This window comes from Homo sapiens, chromosome 10 (assembly GCF_000001405.40).
Source record: "Homo sapiens chromosome 10, GRCh38.p14 Primary Assembly".
Taxonomy (NCBI): domain Eukaryota; kingdom Metazoa; phylum Chordata; class Mammalia; order Primates; family Hominidae; genus Homo; species Homo sapiens.
In genome coordinates this window covers 69,109,463-69,128,730 of record NC_000010.11, presented here as the reverse complement: position 1 = coordinate 69,128,730, position 19,268 = coordinate 69,109,463, and the positions used below count along the sequence as shown (strand labels likewise).

Below are 19,268 nucleotides of genomic sequence, written 5' to 3'. Positions count from 1 at the left end.
GAGCCACCTTGCTTGGCCTTAAAATTAATTTTCTCATTCCTCCTGACACTTCCCAGAGCTACTTAAAAGAAAAATGAGATTTGAAAACTATAAAAATTGTTTTACAGAGAAAAGGAAATATTATAACTTTTTTCCACATGCATATACCTAAACACACAGAGTTCCACTTGGGATTTGAAAGCTGACATTAAAAGATCAAATCGCCAGGCGCGGTGGCTCACGCGTGTAATCCCAGCAGTTTGGGAGGCCGAAGCAGGAGGATCACAAGGTCAGGAGATCGAGACCATCCTGACTAACACGGTGAAACCCCATCTCTACAAAAACAGAACAAATTTGCCAGACGTGGTGGCATGCACTTGTAGTCCCAGCTATGCGGGAGGCTGAGGCAGCAGAATCGCTTGAACCCAGGAGGCAGAAGTTGCAGTGAGCCGAGATCTTGCCACTGCACTCCAGCCTGGGCGACAGAGTGAGATTCTGCCTCAAAAAAAAAAAAAAAAAAATCAAATCCCAAAGTTAAATAAAATTTTGATAGAACTAAAATTGCCACCAATTAAAATGGTATAAACCAAGTTCATTTTATAAAATTTCACAATTAACACCATAATGATAAACAGTGTTTTGACACCATTCCTTAAATATTTAAATTCCTAACCATTAAAAATATGTGAAAAACTACGTGCTATCCTCTATTATTTTCTGGATGCAAGAAATATTTCATAATTTTAAAAAAAGTAGCAGAACACAGTGGCTCACACCTGTAATCCTAGCACTTTGGGAAGCTGAAGCAGGAGGATCACTTGAGCCCAGAAGTTCAAGACCAGCTTCGTCAATACAGCTAGACCCCCATATCTACAAAAATTTAAAAAATTAGCCCAGCATAGTGGTGTGTGCCTGCAGTCCCAGCTACTTGGGAGGCTGAACCCAGGAGGTCGAGGCTGCAGTAAGCCACTGACTGGGCGGCAGAGCAAGAGCTTGTCTCAAAAAAAAAAAAAAAAAAAAAAAAGATATTTTTAAATACAATCAAAACACTAAAATTGGAAGCAATCAAATGGCATTTTTAAAAAGCCTAGTATAGCATATGCAAAAAAGTAATAGGTTGAGTAATAAATTACTGCACTTTAACCAGTTATTCCATGACAATATGGCATTGGGTTAACATTCAGGTTTTTTTTTTTTTTGAGATGGAGTCTCGCTCTTTCGCCCAGGCCGGAGTGCAGTGGCGCTAGCTCGGCTCACTGCAAGCTCCGCCTCCCGGGTTCATGCCATTCTCCTGCCTCAGCCTCCCGAGTAGCTGGGACTACAGGTGCCCGCCACCGCGCCTGGCTAATTTTTCGTATTTTTAGTGGAGACGGGGTTTCACCGTGTTAGCCAGGATGCTCTTGATCTCCTGACCTCGTGATCCGCCCGCCTCGGCCTCCCAAAGTGCACCACGCCCGACCAACATTCAGTTTTTTTACATTAGGGCATATCGAAAATGAACTAGTCAGCCAGGCACAGTGGCTCACACCTGTAATCCCAACACTTTGGGAGGACAAGGCGGGCGGATCACTTGAGGTCAGGAGTTTGAGACCAGTCTGGCCAACATGGCGAAACCCCGTCTCCACTAAAAATACAAAAAAAAAAAAAAAAAAAAAAAATTGGCCGGGTGTGGTGGCGCATTCCTGTAGTCCCAGCTACTCAGGAGGCGGAAGTTGCAGTGAGCCAAGATCGCGCCACTGCACTCCAGCCTGGGCGACAGAGCGAGACTCCGTCTCAAAAAATAATAATAATAATAAAAGAACTAGTCTTACTAAAAAACACCTCCAGAAAATTGTGGATATCTTACATTTTACAGGTAGAGAACAAAAAGAAAAAAATAACTGAGGAAAAAAGCTTGTCTTTTAGAAAGAACTGAAAGAGAAAGATCTCTACCCAAAGTCTCTCTTTCAAAGTTTTTTCTAAGATGTGCAACTTCTGTCATTTGAAATAAAGGGTAATGAAATTAAATTCTTTTTCTAATTATTCTAAATAAAATTCTAATACTTCTGATATGTTAAAGAGGAAGTAAAATACACAACTGTCAAGCTGGTAAAGACTAGAAGGAAAGAGAATAAAATTTGTTGAGGGTTAGGATATGATGCAGACAGCAATTCAGTTTTGAGATTTTTTTTTTTTTTTTTTTTTTTGAGACGGAGTCTCACTCTGTCGCCAGGCTGGAGTACAGCAGCGCGATCTCGGCTCACTGCAACCTCTGCCTCCCGGGTTCAATTGATTCTCCTGCCTCAGCCTCCTGAGTAGCTGGGATTACAGGTGTGCGCCACACCTAATTTTTTTATTTTTAGTTGAGACGGAGTTTCACCATGTTGGTCAGGCAACTTCCGCCTCCCGAGTAGGTGGGACTACAGCAATGCGCCACCACACTTGGCCAATTTTTTTTTGTTTTTGTATTTTTAGTGAAGACGGGGTTTCGCCATGTTGGCCAGGCTGGTCTCAAACTCCCGACTTCAAGGTGATCCGCCCACCTCGGCCTCCCAAATTGTTGGGATTACAGGTGTGAGCCACCGCACCCCGTGAGATCTTTTAAGTGCAAAAATACTACTCACTTCTTTTGGTAAAGATATCTTCAAGGGCGCATTTGGAATATTGCGATTTTCAGGATTAACTATTAATATGCAAGTTAAAACTCTTGAGCTTTTAAATAACTGGACTGCAATATATATGACTATAAAAACATGCTAGCAATTGTTTTTATAGTTTTCTAATCTTGGCCTAAACCTCCTATCACTGACTTTAGGTTAATTTAGGATTTTTCATATAATTTCTGAACCCAATATTGAGCATTACCAATTAGCAAAAATACATGGTAGATACATAAAAAGGCAACTTTTTAGTCCCCACTGAAGGAATTTCACTAAGTCCAGTGGATGTAAAGAAATGCAACTCATTGCATTTCTGAGGTGGAAGGCTGACTCTCAAAATTCATTCACTTAGCCCATACACAAGCAATGAAACAGCAAATTTTCATACATATATTACATCTGTGACCATTTCAGTGTTTTAAAGTTTTACAATTTAGTTTCTGTTTGGGTAACTTGAAAATATAAACTGCTCTTGAACATAATTCAAAAAAGCGTATTAAAAGTAATAATTACAAATGTAAGCAAAAAATAGGAGGACCTTTTAAGTTTTCTTTTCAAATGATATTCAATTAAAGAAGCCTGCCCTAACACTGACTAGGCAAGGTCCCCCAATACTTCCTTCTTAGTATCTGTCACAATTCTAATTTCCACGTTAAACAAATAATTTACACAAATAAATGTTTATCTCTCCCTACATTGTAAGCTACGAGAGCAGGTAGGCGCTGTTTCCATTTTACTGGGGTCCCCTAGGCACACCTGAGCAATTATTTGTTGAATGAAAGAAAAAAAGCTCTAAGAATGAACATGAATGTCTGGATTTTGTTTTGTTTTGTTTTGAAAGCAACATCATTACTGAAATTAAAAGTTATTTATTCAAAGTAGCTTTTTAAAAATATACCTGGCTCGGCCTTTTAAGCCAAAAGTCTCAAGCAGTCTATTGAATCAGTGAGCTTTGGGAAGAGCAGGTAGTATTAGGAGAGCATACAGTAGGCGCTAAATGAAGAGAACTGACGACTACTACCAGAAAATGGGTAAAATGAGATCTAACCTAGAGACTGCCGACACCCAGCTAAATACCACAATGCCCAGGCTAGTGCTTCCGCGGACTGTGGTGAGAGCACTGATTCCCCTCCCTCCTCTGCCTCATAGGCCGTTTCAACAACCCAGAGCGTTAAGTTCAGCGAAATAGCTTGCGGACGGAAATGAGAGCCAATGCTTAAAACGGCGGGCACCAAACGGGTGTCTCTGGAGTTAAAGATATCCCCCATTCCAACGTCCTTTTATTTTTCTCTCCCATTTTACAAGTGTCAACAGAAAGCCTGAACTGGGGTCATGAAATCAAAGAATGTCACCATAGTCAGGTTTTAAAATATCAGAGTTTATCAAGTTCGTGACACACTGAGTGCCCAAGTCCCCCGAAGAGTCCGGAGGTGGGGGGCTCCCGGGTCGCCCCACCTGGATGGAAGAGAGGCTGCCCGGGAGGAGAACAGGGACTGGCTACCTAGGAAGGGGAGGCGGCGACCAGCCCCCGCAGAGGCGGGGTCCGAGTCCCCAGCCAGAGCCCCAACAAGCAGTCGAAGAACGCGGGCAGAGGCTCCGACATGGCCAGGAGAGCACGCCGCCGCCCGTAGGTGCTCGGGCCTCGCCGAGACCGGGAAGAGGTGGCGCCGCCAGCTTTTCCCAGACCCAGGGGTGGCCCGACAGGCCTAACCCCGCTCCCCGCCCTGCTCCCCCGTCCCCTCCTCCGGCGACGCCCGGCCCGCGGTTGGCCGGCCCGCCGCGCGCTCCGGGACGAGGGCGGGAGGCGAGCGCGCTGGCCGCCGCGCACTCACCATTGTCAACGCCGCCGCCGCGTCCCCCCTACTCCACTCCTCTTCCCTCAGGAGAACTCCCAGCCCCGGCTCCCTCCGCTCCGGCGCTCCGTCACGTGACCTCGGGCCGCCCCTCACACGTGACCGCTCCCTTCCTCTCCCCCACCCCCGCACCCGTCCCTCTCCCAGCCTCCTGCCCCGCCCTGCTGGCCGCCAGGCACTCCGGGGAGAGGCCGCTTGGAGGCGGGGCCTCAGGCTCCACCCTTCGGAGGGTGGAGAGGGGCGGGCAAATTACGTCGAGTGGGCGGGGCCTGAACAGAGGCGGGTTCGCGGGCTCCTCCTCGCCGTCTCTTCGGTCACCGGACGAGCGGTTCCGTGTCCGGCCTCTTTACCGCACCCAGTTCCTCTTTGTGAAAGTTTGAGCGGCTGGGAAGGAAGGAGGAGAGGAAGGATTCATCTGGAGGCTCTCTCCTTGGCTGGGTCCTTGGGTTGCCGAGGCGAGTGGGAGCCCTACTTCCTTAGGCCTCGCAAGAAGAGATGTGCTCTCTTCGTCCACGGCGAGGCGTTCTGCCACCTTGCCTGAACGCAGTCCCGCTCCACCTCCTTCTGAGTCTGGGTTTTCTTAACTTGGCTTTCTCGCCTCTGAAGAGAAGACCAGTAGAAAAAAATCCTAGGGTACAACTTTCATTGCTTCCCAAAGTCCCCAGATGGCCCCTGAGCGACCCACCCTGAGCCTGGAGGGCTCACAAACCCACCGTTCCGCCCAGCCGTTCTGAGAGGGCAAAGGCGCTCCCCCGAAAGTCCCACGGCGCAGCTGAAGACTACGCTGGCCTGAACTGGATCCTCCTCCCTAGTGTAAGCCTATAGGACCTCCAGATGAGGAAAATACTGTGTGGGATTTCAGAGTATAGTGTTGAAGGGCCACAGTGCACTCTATGCATAACCAAAGCAGAAGAAAAATCCATCCCTGAACGCACTATAATTACCCCACCTTAAAACAGAAGTTTGTGAGGCGAGTCCATGAAACAGGTATCAAAAAAAATTTTTTTATACTTAATCCTCAGTGTGAGCCTCAAATTTAAGAGGATTGAAATCAGAGTATCATCTCTAACCGCAATAGAATTAAAATTAGAAATCAACCCAAACAAGCCAGAAAATTCCGGAAATATTGGAAATTAAGCAACATAATTCCAAATCTCTAGGTCAAAGAAGAGATCAATGGAAATTTAAAAATAAGTTGAGGCCGGGCACGGAGGCTCACACTTGTAATCCCAACACTTTGGGAGGCCAAGGCAGGTGGATCACCTGAGGTCAGACACGAGTATCTCTTGAATCCGGGAAGCGGAGGTTGCAGTGCCCGAGATGGAGCCACTGCACTCCAGCCTGGGCGACAGAGCAAGACTCTGTCTCAAAAATAAAAAATAATAAAAATAAAATAATTTGAAATAAAAGATAATAATACAACATATCAAATTTGTGGAATGCAGTGACACTGTGTAAAAGGAAAATTTGTAGCTTTAAATGCACATATTTGGGCCAGGCATGGTGGCTCACAGTCTATAATTCCAGCACTTTGAGAGGCCGAGGCGGACGGATCACTTGAGGTCAGAAGTTTGAGACCAGCCTGGCCAACATGGCGAAACCCCGTCTCTACTAAAAATACAAAAATCAGCGGGGCATGGTGGTGCACGTCTGTAATCCTAGCTACTCGGTAGGCTGAGGCAGGAGGATCACTTAAACCTAGGAGGCAGAGATTGCAGTGAGCCAAGATTGCGCCACTGCACTCCAGCCTGGTGACAGAGCGAGACTCCATCTCAAAAAAAATAAATAACTATAGTAACACTGATATTGTTGTCTGTTTGAACTGTGAAAAGAAAGCAGCAAAAACAATGCAAATCTTTAATTAATAAAAGTGAAAAATGGTTTTTTTCACTTAGAAGATTTGCCTGTCACCTTGAGAGCTACTCTGGTTCCTACCCACTCTTTTCTGGGACTTAAATATCAACATAACAAAGAGAATAGATGAAAATGCCACACAGGCAAAGAAATACTAGCGAAGCCAGGTATAAATAAGAGGTGGCAAAGAAAGTCACACTAGAAACCAATTTGTACTAATTATTTATTCTACTGATCAAAACCCAATCAATAATTGTGCTATCATAATAAATACAAGAAGCAACAGAATTGTTGAGCTAGTTATTTGTCTGTCTGCCTACCTATCAATCTATTCAGCAAGCCAGAATGTTAGAGCTAGATTGTGAGCAGTACAGTGTTTCACCAGCTGAGAACTGTGGCATCTCTATATTTGCCCTCTGCCAAAAAAAAAAAAAAAAAAAAGGTGGGGTGTGTGAGGAAAATGTGACTAACTTACAGGGATTGACTTTCATCAACAAAAGTACCGAGTTTAGGTCAGAAAGTATTAGATGATAAGATAATCTGAGCTTTTATCAATCAGAAACCAGTTAAGAGAAAAATAGTCATTTGTTCAAATTCACAAAGACTAAAAATTCACATTAATAACTGTGAGAGTGTCAGGGAGCAGCTGTTTGCAGAGTTCACTGGCAAAGTTAAGGGAAGAGAATAAAATACAAATACACAAAAAGGATAAAGAAAGAAAATACAATTTAGGCCGGGCGCAATGGCTCACACCTGTAATCCCAACACTTTGGGAGGCTGAGGTAGGTGGATCACTTCAGCCCAGGAGTTTGAGACCAGCCTGAGCAACATGGTGAGACCTTGTCTCTTGCAAAAGAACAAAAATTAGCTGGGAGTGGTGGCATGTGCCTATTGGACCAGCTGCTCAGGAGGCTGAGGTGGGAGGATAGCTTGAGCCAGGGAGGCAGAGTTTGCAGTGAGCAGAGATTGCACCACTGCACTCCAGCCTGAGCAACAGAGCGAGACCCTGTCTCAAAAAATAAATAATAAATTAATTTAATTTAAAAATAAAATACAATTTAAAGCATGCCAGTGAAGTATAGAAACACTTTTTTCTTTTAACCTCCCAGAGCACATAGAATAGATTTTGCTTAAAAACTTTAGCGAGTGCAGCTGTAATCATGGTAAATATTCTTTTTTTAAAAAATTACAATTATAAAAGCCAAACATTTTTTCACAATATACAGTTTTTTCTTAAATGTACCAATACTTAATGTTTTATCTCACTATTCCTCTTTTCTTTTTAAAATGAGATATAATGTACATACAGTGACATATGTTAGTCTTAAGTGTGCAGTTTGATCAGTTTTGACAATTGCATACATTTTGATTGTGCATGGTGTCACAGGGCGCCGTGGCTCATGTCTATAATCTCAGCACTTTGTGAAGCCAACACAGGAGGATTGCGTGAGGCCAGGAGTTCAAGGCTGCAATGGTCGTGTCGCTGCACTCCAGCCTGGATGGTGGAGCAAGACCCTAGTCTCTAGAAAAAATTTAAAAATTATCCAGGTGGTGGGGCATGCCTGTAGTCACAGCCGCTCAGGAGGCTGAAGCGGGAGAATTGCTTGAGTCCAGGAGTTCCAGGCTATAGTGAACCACACTGGTGCGACTGCACTCCAGTTTGGGCTACAGAGCCAGGCCCTGACTCTTAAAAAAAAAGCATACATTTGTTTAACCCACACCTTCATCAAGATATAGATGACTGCCATCAACCCCAGAAAACTTTCTCACATCCTCTCACAATCAATCCCATCTCCTAGACGCAACCACTGTTCTGATTTTTTTTTGATATTGATTAGCTTTGTGTGTTCTATAGCAAAATAATAATGGAATCATACCACAAGTGTTCTTTTGTGTCTTGTTTCATTCCCTAAGCAAAATGGTTTTGATACTTATTTATGTTGTTGTATGCATCAGCAGTTTGTTCCATTTCATTGCTTATAGTAGTATTCCATTTTGTGAAGAGACCACAAAATATCCTTTTTCCTGTCAGTGGACATCTTTTTGCCCATTTTTTTCTATTGTGAACAAAGTGCTACTATGTACACGCCTTTTTTGTGAACCTAACCGAAGTGGAATTGCTGGGTTGGGTTAGGTGTATATTTAATTTTACAAGAAAATGCCACATCACTTTTTAAACTGTTTGTGCCATTTTATCCTCCCATCACGAGTGTGTGAAATATTGTTTCTATATCCTTGCTAACATTTGGTGTTGTCAGTGTTTCTAACATTAGTCATTCTTATGAGTGTGTGGTTTTCTCACTGTGATTTTAATTTGCTTTTCCCTGATGATTAATGATTCTGAACACTTTTTCATGTGCATATGTATCATTCACATATACCTCCCTTTGGGAAGTGCCTGTCAAGACTGCCAATTTTTAGTTAAGATGTTTATTTTCTCATTGAGTTATAGTTTATCAAATATTTTGAATATAAGTCCTGTATCAAATGTAGTAATTGCAAATATTTTCTCCCACTCTGTGTGCTTATTTACTTTCCTAACAATGTCTGTTGATGACTTGAGAATTTGGACTTTTACATTTAGGTGTAAAATGTAAAATGAGATCCATCTCAAACTAAATTTTGCAAATAGTATGGGGTAAGATTTGAGAGCTTATTTGTGTCTACATGGTTCCAGCACCATTTGTTGCAAACACTTACCTTTCCCCCTTAAATATCTTTGGTGTTAGCCGGGCGCGGTGGCTCATGCCTGTAATCCCAGCACTTTGGGAGGCTGAGACAGGTGGATCACCTGAGGTGAGGAGTTCAAGACCAGCCTGGCCAGTATGGTGCAACCCCGTCTGTACTAAAAAATGCAAAAATTAGCTGGGTGTGGTGGTGCGTGCCTGTAATCCCAGCTACTCAGGAGGCTGAGGCAGAAGAATCATTTGAGCCTGGGATGCAGAGGTTACAGTGAGCCAAGATTGGGCCATTGCACTCTAGCTTGGGCAACAGAGTGAGACTCTATCTCAAAAAAAAAAAAATATATATATATATATATGTATATATATATATGTATATATATATATACATATATATATGTCTGTATAGATAGATAGATATATCTTTGGTGTTTTTGTAAAAAATCTATTGACTGTATAATTGTGGGCCTATTTCTGAAATTTCTAGTCTTTTCCATTGATCTGTTTGTCTATATTTATGCAATACTACACTGTCTTCAATACAATAGCTTTATAGTAAACCTTGAAGTAAGGTACTGTAATTATTCCAACTTGTTATTTTTCAAAAATGCATTGGCTATTCTAAGTTCTTGTATTCCAACATACATTTATAAATTGTGAATCCACTTCTCCAAAAAAAAAAAATCTACTGCTTGGAAATGGTTTGAACCTACACCTTAATTTGGGGAAAATTGGTGTCTTAACAATATTGGGCCTTGCAATCCATGAATATGGTGTATTTATCTATTTTTCTAAATAAGTAGAGAAAACAGCTTTAATTTCTTTTGGCAATGTTTTGTAGTTTTCAGTACCTTTCATATCTTTTGTTAAATTTTTTTCTAAGCATTTATTTTTTGACACTATTGTAAATTGTATTAATTTTTTTTTTTTATTTTCTGGCCTGGTATGGTGGCTCACACCTGTAATCCCAGCACTTTGGGAGGCCGAGGCAGGAGGATTGCCTGAGCCCAGGAGTTCAAGACAAGCCTGGGCAACATGGCAAGACCCCGTCTCTATACCAAATTTAAAATTTTGTTTTAAAAAAATATTTTCTAATTGTTCATTGCTTGTGCATGTGTTTGTGTGTGACTTTTCTACAATAACTTGGTATCTTGAAACCTTGCTAAATTTCTCTGATAATTTCTTCCCATCTTTTCCTCTCCTCTTTCATCCTGGGTCTTCTATTAGTTGCATATTGGAATTCCTGAATTGATTATGTCATTTTCTTATCTCTTCTTTTCTATTTTCCATCTAGTTGTCTCTTTGTTCTCCTTTCTAAATAATTTCTCCAATTTTATGTTCCAACTCTTATGATTTTTTTTTGAAATGACTGTGTTATAGTAGCCAGCCTCCAAGATATTCCCCGATGATCCTTGCCTTCCAGTATTTACACTCCTTTGTAGTCCCTTCTCAAATGTTGTCAACACTGGTCTGTGTGACCAACAGAATAAAATGGAAGTGATGTGTGTGACTTTCACGGCTGCTTCTGACTTGCTTTCTCTTGGGTCACTCATTCTGGGAGAAGTCCAATGGAGAGGTCCACATAGTGAGGAACTGAGATCACCTGGAAATAGCCAGAACTAACTTGCCAGCCATGTGAGTGAGCCATCTCAGAAGCTAATCCTCCTGCCCTCATTAACTCTTCAGGTGACTGCAGCCTCAGCTGACAAATTGACTGCAATTTCATGAAAATCTCCTTAACAGAACCACCAAGGTAATCCTCTCTCAAATTTCTGATCCAAAGAAACTATAAAATTTTGAAATGTTCATTATTTACTAATATTTATTGCCACTAAGGGGTGTGTGTGTGTGTGTGCGTGTTTGAGACGAACTCTTGTCCCCCAGGCTGAAGTGCAATGGCATGATCTTGGCTCACTGCAACCTCTGCCTCCTGGGTTCAAGTGATTCTCCTGCCTCAGCCTCCCGAGTAGCTGGGACTACAGGCACCCAGCACCACGCCCGGCTAATTTTTGCATTTTTAGTAGAGATGGGGTTTCACCATGTTGGCCAGGCTGGTCTCGAACTCCTGACCTCAAGTGATCTGCCCACCTCAGCCTCCCAGAGTGCTGGGATTACAGGCGAGAGCCACCTCACCCGGCCTGGAGACAGTTTTGATTGTCGAGTTCTAGGGGGGAAAGTGCTACTGGGCAAGTAATGAGTAGAGATCAGAAAAGCTGTAAACATCCTATAATCCACAGAATAGCCTCCCTACAACAAAGATATACCCTGTCAAAAATGTCAATAGCCAGGCGCAGTGGTATGGACTTGTAGTCCCAGATACTCAGCAGGCTGAGGCAGGAGAACCACTTGAACCTAGGAGCTTTGGACCAGCCCGGGCAACATAGTGAGTCTCTAGCTCTAAAAAATAAATAAATAAATAAATGTCAATAATGCCAAAGCTGAGAAACCTTGGTTTGGTATGCATAAACCTAGGAAGACAAATAGGGTTCTGAAAGATCAACTGTATTAATATTTTCAACAGTGACCCAACTGGTAAAGCAGACAACGTGCTGAGGGAATGGAGACAAAAAGCTTCTGCAAAATCAGCCATTCCCAACCCTTTGCTATCTTAGCATTTTATCATTATTATAGATTTGAAAAAACATCTATAATGTAAAATGTATTATAGTTATTTGTGTTTTATCCACTAAATTGTGAGTAGTCTTAACTGTTAATCCCTGGTGGCTTGGTCCTCAGCAGGTTTTTGTTGATTGTATAATATCAGATAGGAAAATTGGCTACTAATTAGACTATTGCTTAAAAGTACAAATTGGAAGAAGTTTTTAACCCTTTGCCCACAACCCCCCCCCCAAAAAACTCTGTAATTATGGTAAATAATTGATTGAAAAATAGAACCCAAAAGGTAAAAGGGTAAGAATTTGAAAACCTACACAAGGCCAGGCACGATGGCTCACGCCTGTAATCCCAGAACTTTGGGAAGCCAAAGTGGGAGGATCACTTGAGGCCAGGAGTTTGAGGCCAGCCTGGACAACATGATGAGAGCCTGTCTCAAAATATATATATAATATATAGAGAGAGAGCCAGGCATGGTGGCACATGCCTGTAGTCCTAGCTACTTGGGAGGCTAAGGCAGGAGGATCGCTTGAGGCCAGGAGCTCAAGGCTGCTTAAGCCTGGGAGGTGGAGGTTGCAGTGAGCTATGATCGCACCACTGCACTCCAGACTGGGTGGACTGGGTGACAGAGCGAGACTTTGTCCCTCACAAAAAACAAACAAACAAACAAACAAACAACACACACACACACACACACACACACACACACACACACACAAAACCCTAGCCTAGGCAACACAACAAGACCCTGTCTTTACCAAAAATACAAAAGAAAAAACAGCTGGGTGTGGTGGCGTGCACCTGTGGTCCCAGCTACTTGGGAGGCTGAGGTGGGAGGCTTGCTTGAGCCCAGAAGTTGGAAGCTACTGTGAGCTGAGATCACACCACTGTACTCCAGCCTGGGTAACAGAGCCAGATCATGTCTCAAAATCAAAAAAAAGCTATACATTTTATATACTATTTCTTCTATGTGGCTGATAATATTTACTTCCATCTATCTAGGTTGGTACAAAAGTAATATTTACTTCCAGCTATCTAGATTGGTGCAAAAGTAATTGCAGTTTTGGACTGTGAATTTTATTTTATTTTATTTTATTTAGATGGAGCCTCCCTCTGTTACCCAGGCTGGAGTGCAGTGGCATGATCTTGGCTCACTGCAACCTCCACCTCCTGAGTTCAAGCGATTCTCCTGCCTCCGCCTCCCAAGTAGCTGGGATTACAGGTGCCCACGACCAAGTCCAGCTTATTTTTTCTACTTTTAGTAGAGATGGGGTTTCACTGTGTTGGCTACACTGGTCTCAAACTCCTGACCTCAAGTGATCCTCTTCCCTTGGCCTCCCAAAGTGCTGGGATTACAGGTGTGAGCCACTGCAGCCAGCCTGGACCATGAATTTTAAATCATTATAACTAGGCTCAAATTCATCTTTATTAATCAAAATAGGAACGATTACAATCAATACAATTTGGCCAATGAGAAATAAGTTTGTATTCCTGTAGTGTAAAAATCCGTGCTTTTGGATTTGATGAACTCTTGGAAAACATTTTCTGCATTCTACTGGTTGTGGAAGCGTTTTCCCTGCAAAAAGTTGCCGAGATGCTTGAAGGAGTGGTAGTCAGTTGGCAAGAAGTCAGGTAAATATGGCGGATGAGGCAAAACTTCGTAGCCCAATTCATTCAACTTTTGAAGCATTGGTTCTACGACCTGCACTTGGGCGTTCTTATGGAGCAGAACTGGGCCTTTCTGTGGACCTATGCCGGCTGCAGGAGTTGCAGTTTTCGGTGCATCTCATCAACAATTTGCTGAGCATACTTCTCAGATGTAATTGTTTCACTGGGATTCAGAAAGCTGTAGTGGATCAGACTGGCAGCAGTGACCATGCCCTTTTTTTGGTGCAAGTTTGGCTTTGGGAAGTAATTTGGAGCTGCTTCTCTGTCCAACCACTGAGCTGGTATTCGCCGGTTGTTGCATAAAATCCATTTTTTTTGTCGCACGTCACAATCCGATCAAGAAATGGTTCATGTTGTTGCGTAGAATAAGGGAAGACAACACTTCAAAACAACGTTTTTGATTCTCGCTCGCTCATAAGGCACCCACTTATCGGGCTTTTTTACCTTTCTAATTTGCTTCAAATGCCGAACGACCTGTAGAATGGTCGATGTTGAGTTTTTCAGCAACTTCTTGTGTAGTTGTAAGAGGATCAGCTTCAATGATTGCTCTCAATTGGTCATTGTCAAATTCCCATGGCCGGCCACTACGCTTCTCATCTTCAAGGCTCTCATCTTTTTTGCAAAACGTTTTGACCACCACTGCACTGTACGTTTGTTAGCAATTCCTGCGCCAAATGGGTTGTTGATGTTGCGAGTTGTCTCTGCTGCTTTAAGACCTGTTTTGAACTCGAATAAGAAAATAGCTTGAATTTGCTTTTGTCTTAACATTATTTCCGTAGTCTAAAATAAACATAAAATAAACAGCAAGTAATAAGTCACTAGCACAAAAACATAAAACAAGAAGTGCCCATTAAAATGATGTATAACATAACCATATTTATTTAAGAATGCATTCCAATATCAAACAGCAAATTCCAACAATGCAAAAACCGCAATTACTATTGCACTCACATAATACCTTCCTTAGTGCCAGGCAAGACTAACATGTTACATTCACTCTCATTCAAACCCTGTTAGACTAAGCTCAAGGACAAATGCCATCTGATGTGTACTTGTTTCCCTCTGTATTCCCATCACCTAGCACATAGATAATCTTATGAAATAGCATGTGTAGTTTTGTGTAGTTTTTAAAATTCTTACTCTTAAATTTTTTTAAGTTGTGTAGGTTTTTAAATTCTTACTCTTTTACGTTTTGGGCTCTATCTGTCAATCAACACACATTTTCATGATTACAATTTTTTAGGGGCTTACTATTTGCCAAACACTGAGCTAACTATATTGTATACATTGCCTCATTTAATCTTCACCACAACCCCTTGGGCAAGTATTGTTAACCTATAGTACAAGTAGTGATAATAGCTCATGTTTATTGATCAGTTGCTCAATGGCATTGTCTCTAGCACTTTACATGTATTAATTTGTTTAATCTTTTTAACAAACCTACAAAGTAGGTACTATCATTATCCTCACCTTAAAAAGGAGGAAACTGAGGTATAGAGAGGTTAGGTAACTCATCTAAGCTTATCTAGTTGGTAAGTGACAGAACTTTTTTTTGTATGTGTGACGGAGTCTCGCTCTGTCACCATGCTGGAGTGCAGTGGCATGATCTCGGTTCACTGCAACCTCCAACTCCCTGGTTCAAGCGATTCTCCTGCCTCAGCCTCCCAAGTAACTGGGATTACAGGCACGTGCCACCACACCCGGCTAATTTTTGTATTTTTAGTAGAGATGGGGTTTCACTATGTTGGCCAGGTTGGTTTCGATCTCCTGACCTCGTGATCCGCCCCTCCTCGGCCTCCCAAAGTGCTGGGATTACAGGCATGAGCCACTGCGGCCGGCCAACAGAACTTTCAATCCAGATGATCTGGCTCTGGAGTCCACACAATTAACCCCTTACTATACTGCTCTCCCTAGACAAGCTTAGCTAAATTAGGCTAGTTGTCTAAACTTACACAGCTAATAAAGAGTAAAACTGGTATTTAAGCCAGGACTTTGCAATGCTAAAACTCAAACTCTTTCTACAAAACAGAAATATTCTACAGTTTCTTTGTGGCAAGTTTAAGATCTTTTTTAACAAGAATGTCATTGGCCGGGCGCAGTGGCTCAAGCCTGTAATCCCAGCACTTTGGGAGGCCAAGGCGGGTGGATCACTAGGTCAGGAGATCGAGACCATCCTGGCTAACACGGTGAAACCCCGTCTGTACTAAAAGTACAAAAAAATTAGCCGGACGTGGTGGCGGGCGCCTGTAGTCCCAGCTACTCGGGAGGCTGAGGCAGGAGAGTGGCGTGAACCCGGGAGGCGGAGCTTGCAGTGAGCCGAGATGGCGCCACTGCACTCCAGCCTGGGCGACAGAGCGAGACTCTGTCTCAAAAAAAAAAAAGAATGTCATGTTTTAAAACCTAGACTACCTACCTCTCCTTTAAAGGTGTAAAACCTAGCACTTAACTAGTGATACAAAGCAACAGGTGTATTTTCTAAAACGTGCCTTGTTTTCTCTGCTGTATCATGTGGAAGCCAAAAATAGGCCTCTTGACAGTAATACCCCATTGGGCATAAAACTAACTAAGTTCCTGTTAAATAATCTCAGATTTATTAACAGAAAGATCAGGGTATAATTTACAACTGTCACCAAAAGTAAAATGCTATAAACATATTCCTATGAGTTGTGTTCTATGAGAAGCAAACTCTGAGAGGATGAATAGCATGGAGGAAGTTAATGATGGAGTTGCCTTAGGATAAACACCTGTGCAGAACGAGAAGGAAACAGGATTAGAGAGGAATAAATTGAGCTGCAGTATAATCACAAGGCATCAGCTGACCAAATAGAGAGTTCTGAAGTTGGGGTGTTTCTTCTGAGTTGTTCCAAGTGGAGCATGAGCTCTGAGACTCTATACCCCCACATAGATGAGTCTTTGACTGTGAGCTGTCCATGAGAAGGGAGCATGACCTTGGATGAACTGGCTCTCTGCATCTAAGAACTTGCAGCCGTCAGCCAACCTTTCCTGTGGCCGAGGGAACAGATCTTCCAGTCCCAAAGGGGGAATCTCGGTAACACAGCACAGCATTCGTAACAGTTTACCCCTTGTGCCACTTAGATCTTTTTGCTTCATATAAATTCTGGGAACAGCTCTTTCAGGATACTGCAGGGCTCTTTTCCTGGAGAAAGGTCAGTGGAATGAATTGCAGCCACTGCCACTGCAGCTGGTATCAAGACTACAATGGATACTCATTAAATGCCTCCTCTACTATCAATTCTAGATTTCTCTCACCCTTGGCTAACACCTCTGCTAGTCTAGATAGCATAGTTGGAGGATTGACCCAGACCTTCAGCCATGAGGATCTGAGCCCCTAGTTGGCAGGTTCTTCTCAGGCCTGGCTGCTGTATTTATCCATTTACCATTAAACCATTAGTACTTCTTCGAAATACTCAGAGAAGCCTCAGTGGATCACTTGGGTGTCAAGCGTAGGCCTCCCTGTCCCCACTGTGTAGCAGCAGCCCTGCCTCTTGATAATCAGGTTCATAGCCCCCGCCAAGATGGTGACTTCTTGACCATTCATCCCTTGCCAAAAAGAGCTTAAGATGCCATAGCTTAAAGTTCAGTACGACACTTACCATGTCCCCCGGTGGAAACATTTCCCACAGGGAATCATAACATCTAAATATGCAAAACTCAGGGTTGCGGTAATAGGAAGAATAAATTCCACAAGTGGTGTTTTGTTTTATTTGTTAGATAAGGGGACAGGGTCTTTTATGTTGTCCAGGCTGCTCTTGAACTCCTGGCCTCAAGCAATCCTCCCACCCCAGCCTCCCAAGTAACTGGGATTGCAGACCTGAGCCATTGTGTCCAGCTAAACACCCCACGTAGTTTCGATGTTGAGTCCTTTTGTACTTCCACTCCTTGGTTCCTGGACCCATGTATTCTACCTATTAAGGACACAGCACCATATAAAGGTTACTGATCTAGCATGTAAACTGCATCCCGAAGGTTGTGACGCCAACCTCAGTGTATCATAGCCAAGCATTGCCTCAGCTGTGCCCTCAACAGGCCCTTCCAACATTCTGTCATGTTGAGGGCACTGAGGTGATGTGGTGGGTGATAAAACCAGTGGAGCCCATGGTCGTGTGCCCACTGCTGCATCTCCTGCTGTTATGCTGTGATGTGATGTTATATGCAAAACCCTGTTGATAAATCAAACATACTCTGTAAGTCCTTAGATTTTAGTGTTAGACATCCCCTGAGCAGGAAAGGCAAACACATACCTGAAATACATCTCTATCACTGTTCAAACAAATCTCTGGCCCTTCCATGATGGAAGGGACCTAATGTAGTCAACTAGCCACCAAAGTCTCCTTCAGGGATAGTGCCATATCAGTGGCTCAGCAATGAGCTCTGTTGCTAGCATACTGGACATTTGGCAACATCAGTAGCTGGATCAATCTTGGTCAGCGGGAGCCCATGTGTGGCCTCCATCACTGCCACTGTGGCCACTCCTTCCTAAGCTCATTGTGCCAGTTTTAGGGTGGCCCATGACAGAGGCTGACTGACATCTGTCCAAGTCATTTTGTCTACCTGGTTGTTTAGTGCCTCTTCTGTGATGGATGTTTTCTGGTGGGCATTCACATTTGATACGTACATCTTCACACTTTGTCTTCTCTCATTGGTCCATCCACATGCCTTTACCCTGAGCTGCTTCGTGCCCAATCTTCCAATCTTTCTGTTTTAGACCCCTTATCAACTGGGCAAAACAGTCACCACAGTCCATGCAAATGAGTATCTTCCAACCTCAGGCTACTTCTCTCTCTACACAGAGTGGATGGCCAGGAGCACCACCCAATGCTCCTGCTCACTGGGAGGATTTCCCCTCAAAGCTGCTTTTCAAGTCCACTCCTGAATGGCATTGTAGTGTAGCTGACATCCACTTTTGGCTTGCTCCCATATACCAGACCAATCCATGTGTGAACCAAGCTGGAGTTTATTCCTATCCTGGCAGTTGGTCATTAGGAAGCCCTCATACAGTCATAGATGTGAGCCCAGGAAGAAATGCTGGTGCATCAGTGGCAATGACATGGGGGTCTGGTCAGTGACCACTGTGATTTTCTGTGAGATGTCCAGCCAGTTCAGGTCTCTTTAGATGGTACTATGACAAAGAGTGGGAGAGTTAAAATAGTCCTGGGAATAGACTGTAAATATACTGCCGTCTGTTCCAAGAGTACGTAAACTCTTTCTGATCCTCTTTTTTCTTTTCTTTTCTTTTTTTTTTTGACAGGGTCTGGCTCTGTTGCCCAGGCTGGAGTGCAGTGGCGCAATCTCAGGTCACTGCAACCTCTACCTCCCAGGCTCAAGCCAACCTTCCACCTCATCTGCCTGAGTAGCTGGGACTACAGGCGCATGCCACTACAACTGGCTAATTTTTGTATTTTTTGTAGAGACAGAGTTTCACCATGTTGCCCAGGTTGGTCTTGAACTCTTGAGCTCAAGCCATCCATCCACCTTGGCCTCCCAATGCTAGGATTACAGGCATGAGCCACTGCGCCTGGCCTCTGATCCTCTTTTAAAAAATGGAGAGATGAGGTCTCGCTATATTTCCCAGGCTGGTCTCGAACTCCTGGGTTCAAGTGATTCTCCCACCTCAGCCTCCTAAAGTGCTGGGATTATAGGCATGAGCCACTGTGCCCAGCCTTATCCTCTTTTTTTGATAGGGATATAAAAGAAAGCATTTGTCAAATAAATGACTATTAGGTATCTAAAGCTATGTAACTCTGCTCTAGCAAAAGTGTTCCACCTGGGGATGCTGCTTCAATAGAGCTACTACAGATGCACCTCAACTTACAGTGGGGTTACATCCCAATAAACCCATCATAAATTGAAAATATTTATTTATTTATTTATTTATTTATTTTTGAGTCTGAGTCTCACTCTGTCTCCCAGGCTAGAGTGCAGTGGCGCAGTCTTCGCTCACTGCAACCTCCGCCTCCCAG

The 19,268-nt window shown here is 43.3% G+C and overlaps 1 protein-coding gene across 5 annotated transcripts in view, besides 3 other annotated features; it reads right to left on the bottom strand.

Moving 5' to 3' along the window:
- Nucleotides 1-4,553, bottom strand: part of VPS26A (VPS26 retromer complex component A) — a 50,235-nt gene extending 45,682 nt beyond the window's left edge. For all 5 annotated transcript variants that reach the window (NM_001318944.2, NM_001318945.2, NM_004896.5 and 2 more), the window contains exon 1: nucleotides 4,451-4,553. Coding sequence is in view for 2 of the 5 variants with exons in the window: in NM_004896.5 (NP_004887.2) it covers nucleotides 4,451-4,453 (3 nt within the window). In the remaining 3 variants the exon portion in view is untranslated. The remainder of the gene's footprint in view (nucleotides 1-4,450) is intronic.
- Nucleotides 3,589-4,095: an enhancer, noted in NCBI's record as "H3K27ac hESC enhancer chr10:70884392-70884898 (GRCh37/hg19 assembly coordinates)". NCBI's record gives its function as "activates a minimal SCP1, AML or CMV promoter by ChIP-STARR-seq in primed H9 embryonic stem cells {active_cell/tissue: H9 hESC(primed)}" and the evidence as "EXISTENCE:reporter gene assay evidence [ECO:0000049][PMID:30033119]".
- Nucleotides 4,300-4,699: a silencer, noted in NCBI's record as "silent region_2428". NCBI's record gives its function as "represses an Ori minimal core promoter by ATAC-STARR-seq in GM12878 lymphoblastoid cells {active_cell/tissue: GM12878}" and the evidence as "EXISTENCE:reporter gene assay evidence [ECO:0000049][PMID:35858748]".
- Nucleotides 4,960-5,319: an enhancer, noted in NCBI's record as "active region_3485". NCBI's record gives its function as "activates an Ori minimal core promoter by ATAC-STARR-seq in GM12878 lymphoblastoid cells {active_cell/tissue: GM12878}" and the evidence as "EXISTENCE:reporter gene assay evidence [ECO:0000049][PMID:35858748]".